Here is a 23,062-nt window from a genome sequence, read left to right as displayed (position 1 = left end):
AATAAAATAATTTTGAAAAAATCAACTACAACATCAAAAATTCTAGAATGGGAATGATCCAAGCTAAATTAGTAGATTGGATGATAATAATAAGAAGAAATACATAGACTACAGTATTATATATACTGTGTATATATATCCAAAATATTAACAGAAATTATATTAATTCTGACTGATATATTCAGTATAGATATGGTATTTCTAGTTAAGTTTTTGACAATTTTATTTTATAATGAAACTGGATCCAAGTCATTGTGTAAAGCAATTGACCAGCAAAGTTATTGCAGGATAAATCCATTCTGAAAAAACACATATTGTATCTTGTAAAGTCTAATTTGTTATAGAGGATAATAAAGACACTTGAGATGTCTGATTCTTGTTTTAGTTTCAATTTGTAACATGAAAGTAGATTTATTTAATTATCTCCATCCATAATTCACCTTAATCATGTCATTCTGAAGAAAGAATCTCATTGTGATGAATGTATTTCCATATATTTAATCTTCAGTATGTAATAAAACGTTTGTTTTGGCCATCAACTGCTTTTACCAGCAAAATAACTCTTGTAATGATCCATAACTAGCAAATCTCTTCATTTTATTTGGAGTATGATATTTGTATGGAGAATAAAAACCAGAAATAATAATGATGTACAATGTCCTCTGTGTTTACAGACCCATCTTTTTTTAAAATTATCTTACCATATGGAAGTTAAATAAGTATAGCACATTGGTGTTCCAATCTCTTGAAAAATATCTACAATTTCAGAAAACAACCTACCAGGGCAGAATATGACACATCTCCTATTATTCATAAAATGTGCCGAAGATTGCTGAAGATTGATTCAACTTTTGCTGATGAGACTCCAGGCAGGATATTACCATAGCAGATAGACTTATCCCTGGAGGCTGTAATCGCAACTCTAAGACAGCACCACACAAAGCTAGAGCGTAGTTTTTGTGGAGAAAAACTTGGAATGTAATGTTAACCTGACAATATGTTGGTAATATGTTTCTATGTCAGTTCAGAAGACAACCAAATAGTATTATTGTCTCCATCTGTGAAAAGTTTTATTTGCTGTAATTGAAGAGCACACCATAATGATGCACAATTTCATTTTGTGTTACATTTTTGGTATAGCCTTCTTATTATTCGTTTATTTCTCTAGTTGTTGTTGGGCCAGAATCCGTAAGCTTGCTTTACATGAACTTGTGTCTACTAGCAGTTATGACGTATAAACTCCAATTTTTTATGTGTGTGCATTCACAAAAATACCAAACCTTTTTGCTGACATTTCAAAAGTCTTTTTAGAGTGTTTTCTGGTCCTCATTTTTTGCTTCAAGGAAACAAAATAATTTTTTAAATAAGATATATTGTTAAACTTTTATTTATTTTCAGATTGCTTATGATGTATTTAGGGTAACATCAAGTGACAAATGATATTACTCTAAATATATTTAAAAGTGAAAACAGAATGCCTCTAATCTGGTGTCCTGAAAGCACCTAGGAAGTCTTTAACCCTACCATGGAGAGAAGAAGGTGACATCCTAAAGTGAAGAGGGTGATGACTCATGACAGGAGGTCTCTCTATGTTGCTCAGGTTAGTCTAGAACTCATGGGTTCAAAAATACTGCTGCCTCGGCTTCCCAAAGTGCTGGTATTACAGGCATGAGCCTCTGCACCTGGCCTGAAGCGTAATATTCCAAACAGATAATCTGGGATAGGTGATCAGTAGACCGTGATAGATTTTTTTTAAAACATATTTGGGAAGAGTCTGCCATTGTTGTACTTTTCCAGCTTGCATTATAAAACTTTAATTACTTGATCAGATAAGAAAGACACAATCATGATCAAAGCTGCCCTTTCGGAGCAGACTTCACACATACTTGAAACCAGCATGGCTCTCCAATTAGCTTATACACCAATGCCACAGTATAAGTATTTTCTAGACCTTAGCTGGACCTTTTAATAGAGTTCTAATTTTAAGCTGCATTTTATCTTTTTATTGTTTTTATTTGTGCTTATAAGAAGCCTTTGATTTTCCACTTCCCTGTAAATATGTGAATATTATAAACACACACCATATGCTAAGCATTGTTTAAGTGTGTTCTCTTGTGTGTGAATGTGAGGCATAAAGAATGAAAGAGCAGCTACTCAATGAAGAGGAATAATTTTTACGTGAATAAAGTTAGTGTATTCTTAAAATATCTTCCACTAAAATGATCAAATTCAATGGAATTGTTAAAAGTTAAATAAAACATTTGAGTTCAGATCATTTCATCAAAGGCAAAATAGGTCACTCTGAAAATCTAAGATTCTAGTAAAATAAATGCAATTTCTCAACTATATGGAGAAACTACTCATTATTATTGTTTTTTTCAGTGATGTTCTTGCTTAACATTGCAGTAATCTTAATGCTATTAAAGGGGCTCAATAGGTTATGTAATATTTTGTAATTTCATCTGATGTTCCATTCTGCTTAATATTAATATTTCAATTGAATGTGATGTAGCATTGTACTTGTTGTGGTGGATGTGTATCTTGCTCTATATTTGTAGGTGCATATTTGCTAGAAAGTTTTGTGATTTAGACATCTAGCAGGCATTTTTGATATGTCTTTTTCCCTTAGCCCTGGCTTTTCATCAATCACCAAAACATGATAGTTCTGCCTCATAGAAACTCCTCACATTTAGCAATTTATTTTGATTTCTACTTACGATATCTTGCTATAAGCCACAATTATTTCTCACCAGAACTACTGTAAGTTTCAAAACTAATTGCTGGTGATGTGAAAAATGGCCCCATTGGCAAATAGGCTGTGATGGAAGAACTTTGAATGGAATATAAATCACAATTTGTAAAACATTCCTGTGAGACACAGAATAGAGAAACTACCAAACCCAAACATACAAGGCACACTAAACAAAAACATTAAAAAATTCTCATAAATTAATGACAAGACACCAGATAAACCAATGTAACAGTAATTTGGCATGAGGTCATGTGTTCTAAAGATAAGAACATTTACTATTCCAGCAAATCACTTAGCTTACAAATGATGACTAAAGCCTGAGAAAACTGTGTGACTAATTGTAACCCCCAAATCCTCTAAGGTTATTTTTTAACACTTTCTTTTTGAGATGCTCACAATTCTGCCAGGCTGCTTTCTATCTTGTAAGCCAGTAAAACTAACTTTGCTGCCAATGTATCCCTGATGGTCTTTATTCAGTGGGGTTTAATAAGTAGAGGTACCAACAGAATTTGTCAAGACCCTCAGTGCTATGAAGCAGAACCCTTAACTTGGTTATTTTGGTGGTTAATTTTATGTATCAACTTGCCTGGGCTAAGGGATGCTTAGATAGTTGGTAATACATTGTATCTGTGAGGCTGTTTCCAGAAGAGATTAGCATTTGAATCAGTAAAACGAGTACAGAAAATCTACCTTCACCAATATAGGCCATTATCATCCAACCCACTGAGGGCCCAAATAGAACAAAGAGGCAGAGGAAGGGCACATTCTTTCTTCTTGAGGTGGGACATCCATCTTCTGTGCTCCAACATCAGAGCTCATGGTTCTCAGACCAGCGGACTCTGTGACTTATATCAGCTGTGGGGGGGTGGGGGTGGGGCACTAGAATTTTCAAGCCTTCAGCCTGGGACTGGGAGTTACACCACCAGTCTCCTGGTTGCCCAGGTAATAGACAGCCATACCCTTGGGCTTCTGAGTCTCCATTATTGTGTGAGCCAATTCCCACAATAAATCTCTCATATATTCTATAGGTTCTGTTTCTCTGAGAGTTATAAAAACACAGTAACAGTTTGAAAATCTGAAAGAACTTGAGTTTTTATTCATTGAGGCCACTATGACTGTGACTATGAGGAATGACTATGATTGACTTAGCTATGAATATGAATTAAGGTAATAAAAATAAATGTTAACAATTATTGAACACCTGATACAGGCCAAACTCTGACCTAGGGACTTTACTGGTATAATACGATTTAATCTTCACAAGGACCTTATGAGGCAGATACTAAAACTAATTGTTTTACAAAAAAAAAAAAAAAAAAAAAAGGAAATTGAGGCATAGACAGATTAAGTAACATGCTGAAAGTCACAGATTTTTTTTTTCTAAAGAGAAATATAATGATTTTGAGCATGAGATTTAGAGTCTTACAGGCTTGGCTTTATACCTTGCTTGTCCTCTAAGCACAGTAACTACTATTTATCAAAGAGTGCCAAATGGCCGAGAAAACAAATTTAAAGAAGCACACAGGCTTTGTAAAAAAAATAAGCCAGGTAGTCATTTATCCACTCTCTGAAAACACTCTAATGGAACTTTAGAAAGTAATAGATGGATAGACACACAGACACATGGGTGAATGGATGAATAATGGAAAAAATCATATATTTTATTTTTTTTCTTTTGGTCTCTGTGTAACACATAAATGTCTAAGCAAGTATTTTAGAGACTCATTCCTGGCACAAAATATTTGCAAATGCCTCTGGTAAATAAGTATTAGTCTTTAGTCCTGACCATTGAAGATTACAAGGAGATTCTAAACATTCAAACTATAATATAAAGACTGATTTTATTTCTAGTTCCCTGTTTTTCATCCCTTTTTATTTCTCTCTAATACACTTTTATTTTTCCCTTATGTACACTTTTCCATCAATTTCTACTATATTTTACTTTCTTAACCAAAAGCAACATGGAAAACTGAATTTCACAAACATTTATTATTTCTAAATATTTATAAGTTGGATTTCATTTTGTATGTGTATTTTCAAAGGTGATTATTGAATTAAGATGTATAATATATTGTATATCTTGTATCCTTCCTTGAAATCAGCGTGAAAAACAAAGAAGTGAAATATTAATAATTGACTTATCCTCTGTGGAACATGTCTAAGCCTACATTGTGCTGGTAATCCAACTATTATATACTTTTATTTATTTGTTCCTGAATAACAATTGTCAATAGACTGATTAATGTGAGATTAACAAAAGAGTATATACTATATTGGAGCTGGCAAAATTTATACTGATAACATGGCCCTTCCTCTTGATATTATATATGTCCTGATTCCAAATATTCAGTCCTTTATCGACTCAAGGCTATTGCTTGGGGACTGAGTCTGCCCATTGCAGAGAGCTCATTTATTTCCCCCTCCAAAATAGATTTCATTTTTCTTTTGTGCATCATAAGCACATTTCTAAAGTTCTGACGGTAAATTTTATAGCGGCAATGTGCAGAAGAATTTAATTTTGAGTTCTCAGGTTGACTAGCAATGCTAGTGGGGATTTTATTACTACTATTTGATTTTCAAAAATGCATTACTATTTCAAAATAGAAAATATCCAAAACACCAGCTTATTTCAGAGGAATGAAATTGAAGAGAGAGTGGAAAAGAAAGTAGAAAATAGCACTTCAAAGTAATTTTTTTTTTTTTTGCATTTCTGAAGCATAGGGAGTGTTTGTAGATATTGTGGATAAGTAGTGTGGTAAAAGTCAGTTATTAAGTCTCCATACTTTATAAGTAAATCAGACTAAATTATTTTCCTTAACTTTTTCCTTTGTCCTTTTACTAAAGAAATTATATATACTACTCTTGCTTTCCAAAAAATTGAGAACTTTGTTTTAACCTAATATTTAAGTTCTAATATTACTGGATGCAAGTTTCATAACAACAACAAAAAGAAGCCTAAAATACAAACCTCCTCTAAAATATAAACAAAGAACAAAAAATAGAAGAAAGATAGAAGCATATAGTATCATGAGATCAAATTACTCCTCACTGGGGAGAACCAAAAACGTGTCTCCACTCCAAGATAATACAATCTCAGTATATACTTTTATTCTCACAATAAAGTACAGAAAATCTTGTCTTAGAAATTCAAGACCCAGGAATACTAAAGAGCTTGATTAGTCCAGTATTCACAGGCAGCTGAGTATGTTGTATGAATTAATGGCTACTCAAAAACCCTGTGGCTTGCAATCTTGGTTGCATGATTTTACGAAGGTTTCAACAGTGCACACATTTTTAAGTTATAACTTGGGATTGATAGGTTTCCTTTTGTTAGACAATTAATGTGTTTACTAGAGGAGGGAATATGAATTCCCACCCATTGACTTAATAAATTATTCACTGTGCAGAAGGAGAGCCTTACTTAGAATGTAGTAGAATGTAGAGAGGTATAGACAAGATAAACACAAGTGAGAAATCTTCACAAACCACAGTGATGAAAATCAGATCTATGGTTGAAGAGACAACCCTGAAAATACAAGAAATGGCATTTATTTCTAATCTTGAGAGCTTGTGTCTATGTTATATTATGTGGCAAAAATGAATTTTAGGGTTAGAAATTAAAATGAAGGCATGGACCTTAAATTGGGGAGATTATCTTGGATTACCTATGTCCTCCCAATATAATCACATGAGTTTTTAAAAGTGGAAACTGTGGGCAGAAGGGCTTGTCAGAGAGATGGAACATGAGAAAGACTTGATTATCCATTGCTTCTTTTGAAGATGAAGGAAAGGGCCCATGAGCCAAGAAATGCGGTGGCCTCTAGGAGCTAGAAATGCATCTCAGTTTATGACCAGCAAGAAAATAGGGACCTTGTCCCTACAATCACAAGGGACTGAATTCTGCCAGTGATCTGAATAAACAAGAAATAGTCCTATAGAGCCTGTAGAAAGGAATATAATCTGTTGACACCTTGATCTTAGCTTGGTGGACTTCTGACCTACAGAATTATAAAATGTAAATCTGTGTTGTTTTTTAAACCATTGTTTGTGGGTATGTGTTACTGCAACAATAGAAAACTAATACACAGGATGGCATATATTTGGCAGGGGTGGGGTGTGAATGAGGGAGATGATACACATTAAAAAAATAGATCTCCAAATCACCTTGCATTTGGCTTATAAGACGTCAAGCTAAATGCAAACATTCATCATTATGTATTTGGATAAGTTATTTGGGAAAAGACAGATTCTGTGATAACATTCAATTCCAATTGTTTACTTATTTTTATTAATTACCTTTATACTTAGAGTCATGCCTACCTTAAGTTTATGTATCACATGAAAGGTTCATGGTAAGGTTCTCATTTGGATAAACTGACAAAAGAGCTAGTGACCTTTTAAGTTGTATTTTCTTTTTAATTTAGCATGAATCTGCCTGGTCTTACTATTTGTTAGTAGTATTTAAAATGATTCTGGCCCAAATTGAAATAATATACTCCCATGTCATATACATTACATTAATTTTTGACTGAGATTTATCTTTTCAACATGTTAGTCTTTCTTCTCCGAAACCAAGTAAGAACTGCCTTGAAGTTAGTTGGCATTATGTCAGATTTTTTATCTTAATTGCTCTTAGCACCTTGTAGCATGACTTATACATTTGTTGTTTGCTTGGTTTTTAATTTTGTGCTTCTATATTAAGTCTGTCTACATGCATCATTCTTGACATTATTCTTTGATATTCTAAAATTCAGTAAAAGTTGTACACTATTTGAAAATATCTAAGTTAGTTTTCTAGGCTATCTACAATTTGCCAAAAATTTGACTTGTCATTTTCCTTTTCTGAGAATGTTTAAGTTTTAAAATACTTGGTAAGAAAAGCAAAATTTTAACTTTTACAAAGTTATTATAAACAATGCACTTGTCAATGGCTTTAGTATCTGCTCATTAATTTGACTCCTGTATCTAAGTATTATGTTGACATAATGTCTTTTCTAAAAATTAGTCACCCTTATCTAAACCTCTAAATATAAACAGAAAGCTGGGGTTTTTTCACATTTAAATAAAAATGTGTTATATTTGCTCTTTTTATTTTTATTATTTGCATCAACACAAAGTCAGGCTGTACACTATTAGTCTTAATAAAGCATCCCCAAATTCTCTTAAATCAGAAAAATTATTTATTCAAAAGTGAAAATGATAAATTCTTTTAAATACAACTCAAATCAAATTTTTCATGTGCAAACAAGCTGTTTTATGTTTTGTGCTGTTCATAGGGCAATGATAACAATGTTATATAACAAGGTTATATAAACTGTCTAACAAGGTTACTTTAAAATGGTACGCGAATAGTTTCAGTAAAATGAAATCATTACAAAGGAATCCCTTGTCGTAGGGCAGAATGCTATATTCAGATTCAAAAGTTTACACAAGGCCAGGCACGGTAGCTCACACCTGTAATCCCAGCACTTTGGGAGGCCAAGGCGGGTGGATCACGAGGTCAGGAATTCGAGACCAGCCTGGACAATATGGCAAAACCCCATCTCTACTAAAAATACAAAAATTGGTCGGGCATGGTGGCAGGTGCCTGTAATCCAGCTACTCAGGAGGCTGAGGCAGGAGAATTGCTTAAACCCAGGAGGAGGCAGTTGCAGTGAGCTGAGATCATGCCATTGCACTCCAGCCTGGGCGACAAGAGCAAGATTCTGTCTCAGAAAAAAAAAAAAAGTTTACACAAAACTTTAATTCTTAAGTTCCATGGTAATATCATATGTTTATACTGTGAAAGGTGATTAGTTACCTTTTATACCTATTTTTACCTATTATTTGGCCAAAGTTGTCTTAGGGGCACAAAATAAATTATTTTGCAGGGACTTACTTTTCATGTGAATTATGAAAGAGAAGTCAAATATTAAAATACCACTACAGGCTGGGCGTGGTGGCTCATGCCTGTAATACCAGCGCTTTGGGAGGCCTAGGTGGGAGGATCACAAGGTCAGTAGATCGAGACCATCCTGGCTAACATGGTGAAACACCGTCTCTACTAAAATTACCAAAGATTAGCTGGGTGTGGTGGCGGGTGCCTGTAGTCCCAGCTACTCAGGAGGCTGAGGCAGGAGAATGGTATGAACCCGGGAGGCGGAGTTTGCAGTGAGCCGAGATCAAGCCACTGCACTCCAGCCTGGGGGACAGAGGGAGACTCCATCTCAAAAACAAATAAAAATAACATAAAAAATAAAATAATACCATTACGATCTATCTGATAGAGTACAAAAACTCTGAAGACCTTGTATTTCTATAATGGTTTCTCTTTTTGTTTTGTTTTTTTTTTTTTTTTTGTACAATCAGGTAAGATGGACTATAACAGTTAAATCATCTTCCAGATCTTGCTACAATAACTGCCCATTTAGGTGAAAGCTATAGACATAAAAATTGAATAATGTATGCAATATCATTTCTGAAGTTTGGATTGGGGTGCTAAGTTTTCTAGTAAACACTGAATTTATTATTGTGTATGAGAGATCTTGGGTGCCATCAAATAAAGGAGATCACAAGAATGAAACAGGACCGCTTAAAGCAAACAGTTTAAGTTACACAGCAAGCTCAATCCTTTGTTTGATAATACCTTTACCTCACCTCCCCCACCTCACTCCCTGCTGACATAGACTAGCACTGTCAGTAGACTATAGACTATAACTGGTGATTGAGGACTTTGAAGGACGTTGTAATTGTATTAGTTATAAAATTTAGTAAAATCCTTTATAATACATGTATTAGTTCATTCTCATATTGCTATGAAGAACTACCCGAGACTGAGTAGTTTGTGAAGAAAAGAGGTTTAATTGACTCACAGTTCCACAGGCCGTACAGGAAGCATGGCTAGAAGGCCTCAGGAAACTTACAATCATGGCAGAAGGTAAAGGGGAAGAAAGCACGTCTTACCATGGCGGTGCCATAAGCACGTATCTGGGCAAGCCTTCTAGAGTCTTAGAAAACAGGCCTGGGTTGTCTTCCAGGATCTGTTAGAGCTTGCTAGAGTGAAGCAGAGCCAAACTTTTTGTTTTTATTTATAAAACATATTCAAAGTCTCATTTAAAGATCGTGTGTTCCACACTCAATATGTCAATTTTCTGCCAAAAACTTGCCCCCTAAACATGATTACACTGAATAATTGCAGGCGCCTTCAAGGGTTTTTTTTTTTTTTTTTTTTTTTGGTCATTTCATGTTAATTTATCTGCCTTAGTACTCTACTCATGCTTATGAAAATGCATATAAATTAATATCAGTTGTGGAGAATATAGATGCTATCATTCTCTTTCATTCTCTTCATAACACTGATTCATACATGCCATGTAGATTATATCCAATTTATAAATGGTATATTACTATTATCCAAACTCCATTCTTCTTAATTCAGATTTTATTGTTTTTTCTCTCATAGTGACTTTTTTTCCTCTTCCAGAATCCTATCTGGGATACCTCAGTATATTTAGTAATGTCTCCTTAGGCTCCTCTTAACTGTGACAGTTTCTCAGATTTTCTTTGTTTTTGATGACTTTGGCAGTTTTGAAGATTACTGGTAGATAATTCTTAGAATGTTATTTAATTTAAATTTGTCTAACTTTGTTTTTTCATCATAAGACAGGAAACATAGATTTGGGGGAGGAAGACCACAGCAGTGAAGTGTCATCACATCACATCAAGAATACATGCTACCAACATGACTTATCACTGGTGATGTTAGGCATGATCACTGGGCCAGGGTAGTGGTTGCCAGGTTCTTCACTACAAGTTTTGTTTGTTTGATTTGGTTTGGTTTGGTTTGTTTTTTTCATTCTTTTTTTTTCTTTGTATAAATTTAAGGGGTACAAGTGTATTTTTGCTACATGAATATATTGCATAGTGGTGAGGTCGGGCTTTTAGTGTAATGCATCACCTGAATAATTAATTTTTTATCCATCACTTGCCTCCCGCCCTTCTCAGTCTCCAATGTCTATTATTCCACAATAGATGTCCATGTATGTCTATTATTTAGCCTCCACTTATATGTCAGAATATGGTATTTGATTTTGTTTCTGAGTTGTTTCACTTGAGATAAAGGCCTCCAGGTCCATCCACATTGCTGTGAAGACATAATTTCATTCTTCTTTATGGCTGAATAGTATTCCAGTATACGTGTGTGTGTATGTGTGTGTGTGCATGTGTGTGTGTATCACATTTTCTTTATCCAATTATCTGTTGTTGGACACTTAGGTTGATTTCATTTCTTTGCTATTATGAATAGTGTTGCTATAAACATATGAGGGCAGGTATCTTGTATATATGATGATTTCTTTTCCTTTGGGTACTCAGCAGCAGGGTTGCTGGGTCAAATGGTAGTTCTACTTTTAGTTCTTTGAGAAATATCCATACGGTTTTCCATAGAGGCTGTACTAATTTTCATCCCCGCCAAGAATGTATAAGCATTACCCTTTCTCTACATTATTTCCAACATTTGTTATTATTTGACTTTTTAATAACAGCCACTCTGATGGTATAAGATGATATTTCATTATGAATTCAATTTGCATTTCTATAATTAGTGGTGTTGGACTTTTTTTTCATATTGTAGTTGGCCATTTGTGTGTCATCTTTGAAAAATGTTTATTCATGTCCATTGCCTACTTTATAATGGGGTTGTTTTTGTTGTTGTTTGAGTTCCTTGTAAATTCTGGATATCAGTACTCTGTTGGATGTATAGTTTGCAAATATTTCCTCCTATTCTGTGGTTGTCTGTTCACTCTGTTGGTTATTTCTTTTGCTGTGCAGAAGGTTTTTAGTTTAATTAAGTATGACTTATCTATTCTTGTTTTTTTGCTTGTGCTTTTGGGGACTTAGTCATGAATTATTTGCTTAGACCAATATCCAGAAGAGTTTCCCCTAGGTTTCCTTCCAGTATTTTTATATTTTCAGGTCTTACCTTTAAGTATTTGATAAATCTTGAGTTGATTTTTGTATATGGTAAGAGATAGGGGTCCAGTTTCATTCTTCTGCATATGACAATCATTCTTTCTATAACCTATTCTTTAATAAACATAATCTACCCTCAAAAGGTGGAGAGTTAAGTGCCATCTCCTTGAGGGATGGGGTTTCTACATAAATTCTAGCTCCATTCGCACTTGGTATTGATTTTTCTTTTTCTTTTTACCTTTGGCTATTCTAATAGGAGTTATTTCCTACATATACTTACGCATGCACCAATGCATGTTTGAATATAAATATTTGTGTAAACATTTACTTAATATCTGAATATAGAAATTATTATTAATCCTTATTAATCCATATGGCTTTCTTTACAATTAATATTTTCTTTACAAAAAGGAACTAAATACATCAGAAAAAGTATGAACACATTTTGTTAATGTGCTTCATGGTACTTATTTGTCATTCTTTGGAAATTTTAGATGTGTGGTACATAGATTGCATCTAATAAACCCAATTCTTCAGCTTCTTTTTATGCACATCCATTGTGATATAAGATTCTTGTGGCTTCCCACTATGAAATTTATGCTAGCCACATGTCTTGATTTGGGCACTAAGATGTACTAATGTATGACACACAGAAAAAGATTACAAAATTATTTGCATATTTCAACCTGTGCTCCTGATCCTCTATCTTGGCCATAAGCACATATGTGGGCAAGCCTTCTAGAGTCTTAGAAAACAGGCCTGGGTTCCCTTCCAGGATCTCTTAGAGCTTGCTAGAGTGAAGTAGAGCGAAGCTACTCTAACCACACGAGCTCAGGGCATCCTAGGTTAGTTGTCAGCCAGGTGATTGCCAGATATGTGAGTGAGTCCCACTGAGACTGTTTGAATCCAGCCCAGGTCAGAGGAATTTCACAAACACATGAGCTAATTCAATATTTGTTGTTGCAGGCCACTGAATTTTTAAAGATATTTTTCTGTTGCAAGCATTATTGTCAGAATAGATAACTGATATAAGACCTTTTATGTGATAAATAACATTGAAAAAATATAACTTTGAATGCCATTAAAATTTCGTGTCTGTGTGTGTGTGTTTGTATGTGTGTGTGTGATTTCAAATATATCAATAAATAAATGTTAGTTGCACGGCATATTTTAATTGAAAATGACCTATGAACGTTGTGTTGTTTAACTCCCCACCAGTGGAAAGCCACCCATGTGATAGTCTTGTCAGGTGGTCATCCAGACATTGATGTTCAAAATCCCTTAGCTGACTTGCTGTCTTAGCAGAGAGAAAAAACACTGGTTTTTCATTAAGCTCAGATTTTCTTTCCTGGAGACTGAACCCCTTGGCCCTCTTTCTTTCTCTCTAATGACATGGAATAAAGACTATTCCCTCCTTTATGATCATATTTAAATTAACTCTCAAGGTGTCCTTTTCTATTATATATGTTAACGTTGCTTAGGCCACTATAGACCTTAGCTTGCCTGAATCTCTTTTGCCTGCACCTCCCTTTTGTATTGGATCTTGGAAGTGTGGTCTCCTTTCAAATTTTGTGCTTTGACAAAATTGACTCCCCCAAATCTACATTTATTTAAACTCCAATGCAACCAATTTGAATTTGCAGATATTTTCTCTGCTTACTTCCACTGGGGAAGTTTGTCACAATATTCACAGACTCTCATTAAAATCAGTGACAGAACAGCCAGGCGCTGTGGCTCACGCCTGTAATCCCAGCACTTTGGGAGGCCGAGTCGGGTGGATTACGACGTCAGGAGATTGAGACCATCCTGGCTAACACGGTGAAACCCTGTCTCTACTAAAAATACAAAAAAATTAGCCTGGCGTGGTGGCGGGCGCCTGTAGTCCCAGCTACTCGGGAGGCTGAGGCATGAGAAAGGCTTGAACCTGGGAGGTAGAGCTTGCAGTGAGCGGAGACAGCGCCACTGCACTCCAGCCTGGGCGACAGAGCGAGACTCCTTCTCAAAAAACAAACAAACAAACAAAAAAAGAAAGAAAGAAAATCAGCGAGAGAATTGTGCTGTTGTATCTTCAAATTATTTTTCAAAATTTATTTCTGAATTTTAGAAGATACGACTATACCCTTGACCTTCTTCCTTTGCTATTGGTGTTTTAAAAATAAGTCATGGTCATTTTGTCAATAATGTCATCGTACTTTCATGTTTAGAAAAAACTTTTTCAAAACTTCAGAGCCATTTTTCTAAAAAGGCATTTTTCCTATATAGTGAAATAACATACGTTGTATTATAATTCATAGCAAATTTTTGCGAACACATCTCTTATTCTAAATCATTTATTTGGTTTTCTGCCATATAATATTTATGTTTTTTGGAGTGGTGAGGAAGATAAGGTAGTAAAGAAAATGACGACTGACTTAATTTTTTAATATTCCTACCTTTTCCTAGTAATGTTACCAACATGTTCTCAATCTGGAAAAACTATGTTTTAGTTTTCCAAAAGATTGACATTATAAAAAGAACCACTTAGTTCCTCATTTATGTCTAGTCTTTACTTCTAAATGAGGCTTTAAAAACTCATACCACAAAAAGTAATTTGAGAAGTAAACTTGATTTGCAAACAAGGGTTGCATTAATAGGACTTGTTACATAGAGTATGTACTATACAGGGAGCGTGGAAAGTAGTAGAGGGAGAAGCAGACAACTTTACTTCTGAGGAGATTAAATCAGGTGACTTTGTCTTCAAATTGGGTGTTAAGGGATGATCTTGGAGAAGAGCAACGGATAAATTTACCTGCAATATTGTGGTCCTGGGGCAAGGGTACAAATGGAGGTGTACATATAACAGTTGTATGTATTTAAACATTATATGCCAAGCAGGTAAACTAATTAAAAAATATATTCTAATCTATTATTTTCACACTTATACCTTTACCATGTTAATATTAACCATGTTAATATCCAGGCTCACCTTTATAATTCTCAGACATAGCATTTTTTTGAAACAGGGACACGTTGGGCTGATCAGGCCTCCACAGCTAGCCTGCAGAGAATCCTGCTTTTCTCTTCTCACTTTAACCTTTGTTCTGTGCTGCAGTGACCTTCTACACATGGTGGACACTCCAGCCTCTGCTCAATCTCCATCCACACTTAAAGGAAATAGCCAACTCTTGGCCAACCTTCAGGCCTGGGAAGAGGCTCAAGCAGACACTGAAGACGGACTTAAGGTCAGTTTTGCAGGGGCATTTTTGGTTCTGGATATCTGGATTAGGCAAGGAAGACAGCACAAGCTCCAGGTTTATCCCTAAGGACAGACATGGCCAAAGCAGGGCCTAAGTATGGCCCTCTAAAGAAGCACAGGACACCTCTCTCTCTCTCTCTCCTTCCTTCTCTCTCTCTCTTTCTCTCTCTCTTCTCTTCTCTTTCTATGTGCCTATGTGTGTGTGTGTATGTATATGTGTTTTCGTGTTCCAAAAACTGTACTCGCAGAGGCTAGCACTATGGTTTAAATGTCCTTCAAATTTCATGTGTTGGAAATTTAATCCCTAAGTCAATGTGATGATTGGAGGTGGGCCTTTGGGAGGCAATTAGGATTAGATGAGGATACCAGGGTTGGGCTCCCATGATTGGATTAACGGCTTTATAAGGAGAAGAAGAGAAACCTGAGTTAGCACACTTGTTCTGTTTCATCATTCGATGCCTCCCACCAGTTCATGATACAGCAGGAAAGCCCTCAGCAGATGCTGGCACAATGATCTTGGACTTTCCACCCTCCAGAATCATTAGCTATACAAACCTCTATTTTTAAAAAATTCTCAATCTGTGGTATTCAGTTAACAGAAAACAGACTAAGACAGCTAGAGAGGCATGATATAACCTGTAGTGTTCCAGGAGTAGAGAAACCAGAGTGAGTTTTTCCTAGCATTGGCAGGGGATCAATGTTGGCTGCCCTTACCACTGTCATTTTCATCAAGAAATGCTTTAAGTTGCCCGTGAATTGTTTAGAAAGCATGAAGCCTATTTGCAGTCAGAGATTTAGCCACTCTGAAGTCTCCTGAAGGAAAAAAAAATAGTCACTGATTACTAGAGGGTTGTTGTTAGTGTGATATGTAAACTAAAACCCAAGATAACTTGGATTTCACTTGCAAAAAATAGTCATTGAAATCACATGCATAAACACACAAATACATATATGGTGTCAAACTATCAGTTTTGTTATTTAATTATTTAGTTATGGTGTCTGATTCTGAAAATAGGCATAAAAAATAGATCAAATCTTAGCCTGTGAATTTTGTTTTGTGTCAGAAAAAGAAAAGTGAAAAGGTGGGCAATCTGGGAAAGACCATAAAGATCATTTAATTCAGGAATTCTCATTTATGAGGGTCTGGAATACTACAGATTTTATATAAACTATCACATCTCTGTGGCTATGTGGATTGTTTTCTACTAGATTCTCCAGAAGAGCTATAACCCCAAAAGGATAAAGGGTGATGTCTTCATTGCACAGATGAAGAGACTAAGATTGAGATAATACAGAGACTTGCCCGGGGTGGTGTATCCCTCATATCTTCAGTGAAGTTACTTTCAGTTGCACCATAGCTGCTGTCTGCTTTTTCTTACTTGAGATCTAGATCTGCAACTCTTCTGTTTAACCCTCCTACTCACAGTGTATGCTCTAGTCTGCATCACCATCTAATTATTGGAGACCTTTTGTTTTTATTCCTTTATAATTAGGCGTTACCATATTGGCCATACATTTTACCATCTGGACTCTGTCCTCAGCTTAGACTTTCAGACAATTTTACAAGCAGCAATTCTGTTTTTTGAGTTGTCTGTATGGAAATAGTTTTTATGAACCATTTTATTTAGCTGTTTTCTTGTGCTGTGTGTTTTATAAGAACACTTTATGAGTATGACAGCATCCATCATGGCCTAATAAATAATCTTAGTAAGCACAGGACAAAGTGAAATTTTTGCTTCATAATCCTATATAGAAAATAGCACTTTAAAAAGTAGGCATTCAAAATGAATTTAACCTCAAGTGTTTTTATTTTTTGTCTTTCTTTTCCATTTTTTCATAATAAAAAAATTAGGTACAAATTATATTTGTATATGAAGACATTGTGGTGTTATTTTCTTCATTTATAGGGGATATATGTATATGTATACACACATATGAGGAGACTTCAAAAAGTTCATGGAAAAATTTAATTAAAAGATAAAAACAAAAAATATATACTTTATTTCTCAACAAACTCTATCACATTCAAGACTTTTGTAAGTGATGATACAAGCCATTTCATTTATCCCTAAAGAGCTGATGGTCCTAGGAATTTAACCATCTCAATGAAATTTTTTTACATTATTTACTAGAGAGAAATGGGTGCCCTTTACAGATTGTTTAAGATTAGGAAACAAAAAGAAGTCAGAGGATCCAAACCAGAACGGTAAGGTTGATGCCTAATGATTGTCCATCAAAACTCTTACAAAGTTGTCCTTGTTTGGTAATAGTAATGAGCAGTAGCAAGAGCATTGTCATGGTGGAGAAGGACTCTCTGGTAAAGCTTTTCTGGGTGTCTTTCTGATAAAACTTTGGCTAGCTTTCTCAAAACACTCTCGTGATAAGCAGATACTATTGTTCTCTGGCCCTCCAGGAAGTCAATAAGCAAAATGCCTTGAGTGCCCCCAAAAAACTCTTGCCATTACCTTTGCTCTTGACTGGTCCTCTTTTGTTTTAAGTGGACCATGTCTAACTTTTGGTACCCATTGCTTTCATTGTGTTTTGTCTTCAGGATCACACTGGTAAAGCCATGTTTCGCCTCCTGTTACGGGTGTTGAAGAAATGCTTTAAGATCTTGATTCCATTTTTTAAACATTTACATCAAAAGCTCTGCTCTTGTCTGTAACTAATCTAGGTGCAGTGGTTTTAGCACCCATTCTGTGAAAAGCTTGCTCAAGTTTAATTTTTTAGTCAGAATTGTTAAGCTGAACTAGTTGAGCTATCTATGGTGTTAGCTATTGTTTCTGCTGTTAGTTGTTGGTTCTCTTCAATTAGGGCATGAACCAGGTTAATTTTTTCCTCACAAATTGATGTGAATGGTCTATCACTGTGGGCTTCATCTTCAACATCATCTCATCAGTTCTTAAAATTAGTCACTAATTTTTAAACTGCTGGTTTCTTTGGGGCATTGCCTCTATAAACTTTATATGAAGCAGCAATGATTTCACCATTCTTCCACCCAAGCTTCCTCATAAGTTTTGTTTTTGTTCTTGCTTCAGTTTTAGCAGAATTCATGTTTCTCTGATAGGGGCTTTTCATACTTATCCTTCTTAGTTTCTCAAACTAGATTCTGTTTAAACATGTAATAATAAGTTTTTATGAGTTGTAAACTCATATAGAAAAAAACTCATATAGTTTTTTCATTATAATCATTTTTTTATTTTGAGGACCCCAGGTTTATATTAATTTCTAGATGATACATAGATACATTCATTTCTATATATTTTATGTATATTCTTTGAGAGAATGAGAGAGTATTTGTTTACAAATGCTATCTAGAAAATGATAGTATGAGCCGTATCCAAAAAAACTTGATAAAACTCAAAATGTTTACATAATTAGTAATTAATAACAAAAGCTTTGCACTCAGACAATTTCAAATCATGGTTCACTGTTTCATATCTGAATTGTTTTAGTCATGTCACATAATTTCTCTTATTCTCAGCTTCTTCATGTGTAAAATGCAGTGTCTACTTCATGAGGTTGTTGAGAATATTAAATAAGATAGTCTTCATAAAGTAGCACAATGACAGAAATTGAAAATCTCCAGACAAATTAATTATTTTCCTTAATAAGCATTATTATGATCATTGATTAACATTTTTCCTACAAGTGAATGCCGGTTCTTCTAATTCCATATGATCTCTGCGTTCATTCGTCCTTTGTGAAAGAAGTGTTAGAGCATACGATACTAATCTTTAGTGCCAAGAGTACGAATAATCTTTCGACACATTCCATTCTCAGAATGAACTCATTTTTTTCTTTGATCTCAGATGGCAAAATGATTTTTATCTATAGACACAAACTCACACTGGTTGTCGGGGATTATGGGGCCAAGTGGAAAGGACTGAGCTGAGTAGGAGCTGTCTTCATTCTCTCATTGTTGCTATCCAATTCTTGTAGGATCCTCTATTTGAAAAGATGAAACAGCTCTGGCAGCTGAGTAGCTGCTGGTGTTGTTCAGTTTTCCTAGAATAAAACAGTCTCGGTTTTCTTTCTCATTTTTGAATTGCTAACTTTTCTCCTTACATAATTTTTTAGAGACAGATGGGTTTCTATAACTCTGTCTACCAGAAGTTCTGAACATTTTTATCTGGTCTGAAAGTGGCTTCAACTCTGTATCCTTTTCCTGACCTGAGATTCTAGATTTGTTTTTACAAATACTGAAAAAGAGTAACTACTGTACTCCATCAGTCAAGTGTTAATAATGTGTGAAGTAGATGGAATTTGCTTTAGAGAATATTCTGAAGTTTGTTCATATTTTTACTCCTGTCTACTGATTATTATCTTGTGTCTTATCCTTGGCTGATTGTTATGAGCTAGTATTTAATGATTCATACCTTTCTGCCATATTTCAATTCCCATTTTAATGGTATCTGATATCCCAAGGTAATGCATCCCTAATGGTGACATAAGAAAAGTGGGAGGCAGTGGCTAATGGAAATAAACTACTTTTAATTCACCTGAAATTATATATTGTGAGCAATTAACATGTCTAACTAATCATGCCACGAGTTCTTTCACGCTTCATAAGAAATTAGCTGTTTTATTACAACCACCTGGATGCAGTACTGCATAATAGCTGAGGCAAACTGGAATACTAAGATGCATTTGTGTGCCTTTGTGCAGGCTACTTAATGTCTCTTGGCCTCAGTTTCCCTATCTTTAAAACAGAGATAAAAAATTCTCCTAATAATACTGTTGATAGGATTTAATCAAGATTATATACAGTTATCCCTTGTTATGTGCAGGGGATTGGTGCCAGGATCCCTGTGGATACCAAAATCAGTGGATGCTCAAGTCCCTTATATGAAATGACATAGTATTTGCATATAAGCTATGCATTTCTTCCCTATACTTTTAATCATCACTAATGGACTTATAATGACTAATACAATGTAAATGCTGTGTATTTACAATGTAAATGCTGTGTACACAATTACAATTGTGTACAGTTGTTATACTGTATTTTTATTTGTATTATTTGTATTGTTATGTTTTTCTTAAATACTTTTGGTTCACCATTGGCTAAATCTGATGATGCAGAACCGTGGATACAGAGAACTGGCTGTACATCACATATCACAGTGTTTGCAATAATGTATCAAGCTCTCAAAATGGAACCATACGGCAACATATTGTAACTATCTTGTATTAATGATGAGAAGATAATGATCCTGAGTTTTGGTGACTTGCGTAACTTAACATGATGAGTTAGTTAAAAAGAAATGGACTGGAATCTAGGTATTGTCAATTTCAGGTCAAAAATATTTCATTGACAATGAGTAACCCCTCAAATTAATTAGAAAGTGTATTTTTCAGGCACTCTTTATATTAACTTAATGCTAAGGGCTCACAAAAATAAATAATAGATTTCAAGATTATGATTTGCAGAAACTGATTAGAAAAACTTCTGCAGCACTAAAATAAGCTTCTTTTTTATTCCTTTGCAAGTGTATTTGTTTTACATTTAGTATTTTTTATTGTTTTGTTAGGAACACAGCTCAAATTGTCAATAAATGAGCCATTGTTTTAAGATTTTTTCCTCTTCTCTCTCTCACATTGTTTTTCCTTCCCCTCTTGGTATATATTTTGTGCCCCAGTCCTGGTAATATTTTTTTTTTGTTTATTTGTTTTACATTTGTTTTCCTTATAAAGACACAATTTTAAAGACTCATAATATATATCCTTTCTAGTGATCAAAAATCAATTTATAATTTTCCTTTGGAATAAGCACTTTTTATGAAATTTGACACTACTAAACACACCCTTCAGTTTATTAAATTATCCTAAATAATGAACCAGAAATATTTAACAATGCAATGATATTTAGAAAATTTATCTTGTTTAGCCTGAAACAAAACAAATGTAGCCATGTTTAGCACATTTCTCCCTCATTACCTTTCTGCCATTTGTTTTGTGTGATTGCCTCAACATTAAGTTTCATCAATTTTATTAGTATTACTATGATAATGTTGGTATATGTTATTTTATTTTGGAGAGCTTATTTAAAGACATTATTTTCTACTTACTATTCATTTTTTGTTCATTAATTTTTGTTATTGAGGTGTTTTAGGAGGTGGGTGCCTTCTGTATTCAGATTAGACCCATGTGGAACTTTCTAGATCTGTCTTCCTTACTTCATTTAGTTTTATCATCCTTTTCCAAGTACTTTTTCCTTACAATTTTGATTTGTTTTCTTAATTGTTCTAGATACTTATTTTAACTATTCTTTTTCCTTAATTGTATTTTAATGGTTGCATTTCATAAAAATATCTTCTGCTTTTATGATTTTGTTTCTTTTTCTTTTCAGTATTATCCTGGATGTGCTTTAGGGATGCAGTATATTACCAAATCACTTTAACACAAAAATTTGAATTTTTGAAAATGTTTAAAATATTTTTCTATTTATAAATGATTAATATTGTAGTAGAAATAGAAAACTAGAATAATAGCATAGTGCCTTATAAGTCGGTGAGTGAAATGATTAATATCAGAAAGGGGGCTTGAATAGACAGTGAAGTTGTAGAATAGCTCTGGAAGAGAATGGAAGATGTAGTACAACAAGAACACAAGAAAGGATTGATAAGGAGCAAAAGACTTTCCTTGAATTGATGACGATGTATTGCAAATGTTATCAATCCGTGTCTCAACTTTACTGGGAAATAGAGTTTGCTACAATGATGTCTTCACATTTAATAGCAAACAGTTTGAGAAATGCAATACATTTATCATAGCATGGCTGTACGTTTTATCTAAACATTTCCAATACCAACGGATAGTTTCATAAAAACAGGGTCCCTCTTGCCACGAGAAGTAAATTTCAGGTAACAAATACAATGCGCTTTATTTATGTAAGAATCTATTTTTATATTTATTTGCTTCTTGTCAATTTAAACTTCTAACTATGGCTTTGCAAGTTACATGAATTTCAGTGTGATATTTTTCAAACTCTACGACCTGATATTTTTTATTATGACTTTTTTAACCATTAATTAACTAGTTCCATGCATTTTCGGTGATATTCTTATGAATGTCCTCAAAAGAGAGATTGCTATGTGTTATGTTTAACACTGCATAACACACCACTCCAGATCTCAATGGCTTGAAACAATAAGCGTTTGCTTGGCTTGCAGATCTGATTGAGAGTTGGTGATTTACGTCAGTCTTAATTGGTTGGTTCTTCTTGTTTCCATGTGGAAACTAGAAGTTGTTGGCAGTAGTAGTTGTAGTTGGCAGTTTTCAGCTAGGGCAAGGACAGGGCTTTCTATCTCTTATCTTTCAGTAAACTAATATGCATATGATCTTAATTTTTCACAATAATGAGAGGAGAAAATAACAAGCCCAATTGTACAAGCCTCTGCTTAATCACATTTGGTAACATCCCTTTAGCCAAAGCAAGTCTTATGGCTAAACTCAGAATTAAAGGGCAGGTGAATAGCAACTCTCTATGGGAGGAACTGTGAAGTTGTAGTGCAAAGATTGTGAATACAGGCAGGACTCTTACTGCAATCTATATGCAGAATGAACTTACCATTGATTGGTGATATATGTATGAATTGTAATTTTAAATGAAATACTTTGACTTCTCATTTCTAGGTAGAAGTATCTTTTGTATGATAATTTAATATCTATGTCTGAAAAGGCCTATTTTGATCTTTCTTCCTGAGTGTCTATGTTGTGTGTTGTGTGTATGTGTGTGCATTTAGCATCTGCTTTAACCTAGGCATGTATTGCAGGCTCTGGGGGAATGCCAAGGATATTTCCAAGAAGGTATCTAGTATAAGGAGTGTCAAAAGCAAATAGTGGAGAGAAGGATTGGAGCATAGTGTGAGATCTGTCTTCACGATCGGTAGATTGGTGATCCTCTAAGAATTCTGTTGAAGTTTAACTGTGTTTTCTTTTTCCTTGTCTTAAATTGTATAAATTGCATTTGAAATAAAATGCTCAGGTTTGGCTGGCACAGTGGTTCATTCCTCTAATTCTAGCACTTTGGGAGGAACAGGTGGAAGGATCACCTGAGCCTAGGAGTTCAAGACCACCCTGGGCAACACAGTGAGATCCTGTCTCTACAATTTCTTTTTTTT

General features: G+C 34.5%; 1 long non-coding RNA gene across 1 annotated transcript in view; it reads left to right on the top strand.

Moving 5' to 3' along the window:
• Window positions 1-23,062, top strand: part of LOC105378313 (uncharacterized) — an 85,058-nt gene that overhangs the window by 16,400 nt on the left and 45,596 nt on the right. Inside the window, exon 2 of the long non-coding RNA XR_001747453.1 lies at window positions 14,793-14,922. This is a non-coding gene — a long non-coding RNA (uncharacterized LOC105378313). The remainder of the gene's footprint in view (window positions 1-14,792; window positions 14,923-23,062) is intronic.

The sequence above is a fragment of the Homo sapiens genome, chromosome 10 (assembly GCF_000001405.40).
Source record: "Homo sapiens chromosome 10, GRCh38.p14 Primary Assembly".
Lineage (NCBI taxonomy): Eukaryota > Metazoa > Chordata > Mammalia > Primates > Hominidae > Homo > Homo sapiens.
This window is presented reverse-complemented; position numbering and strand designations above follow the sequence as displayed.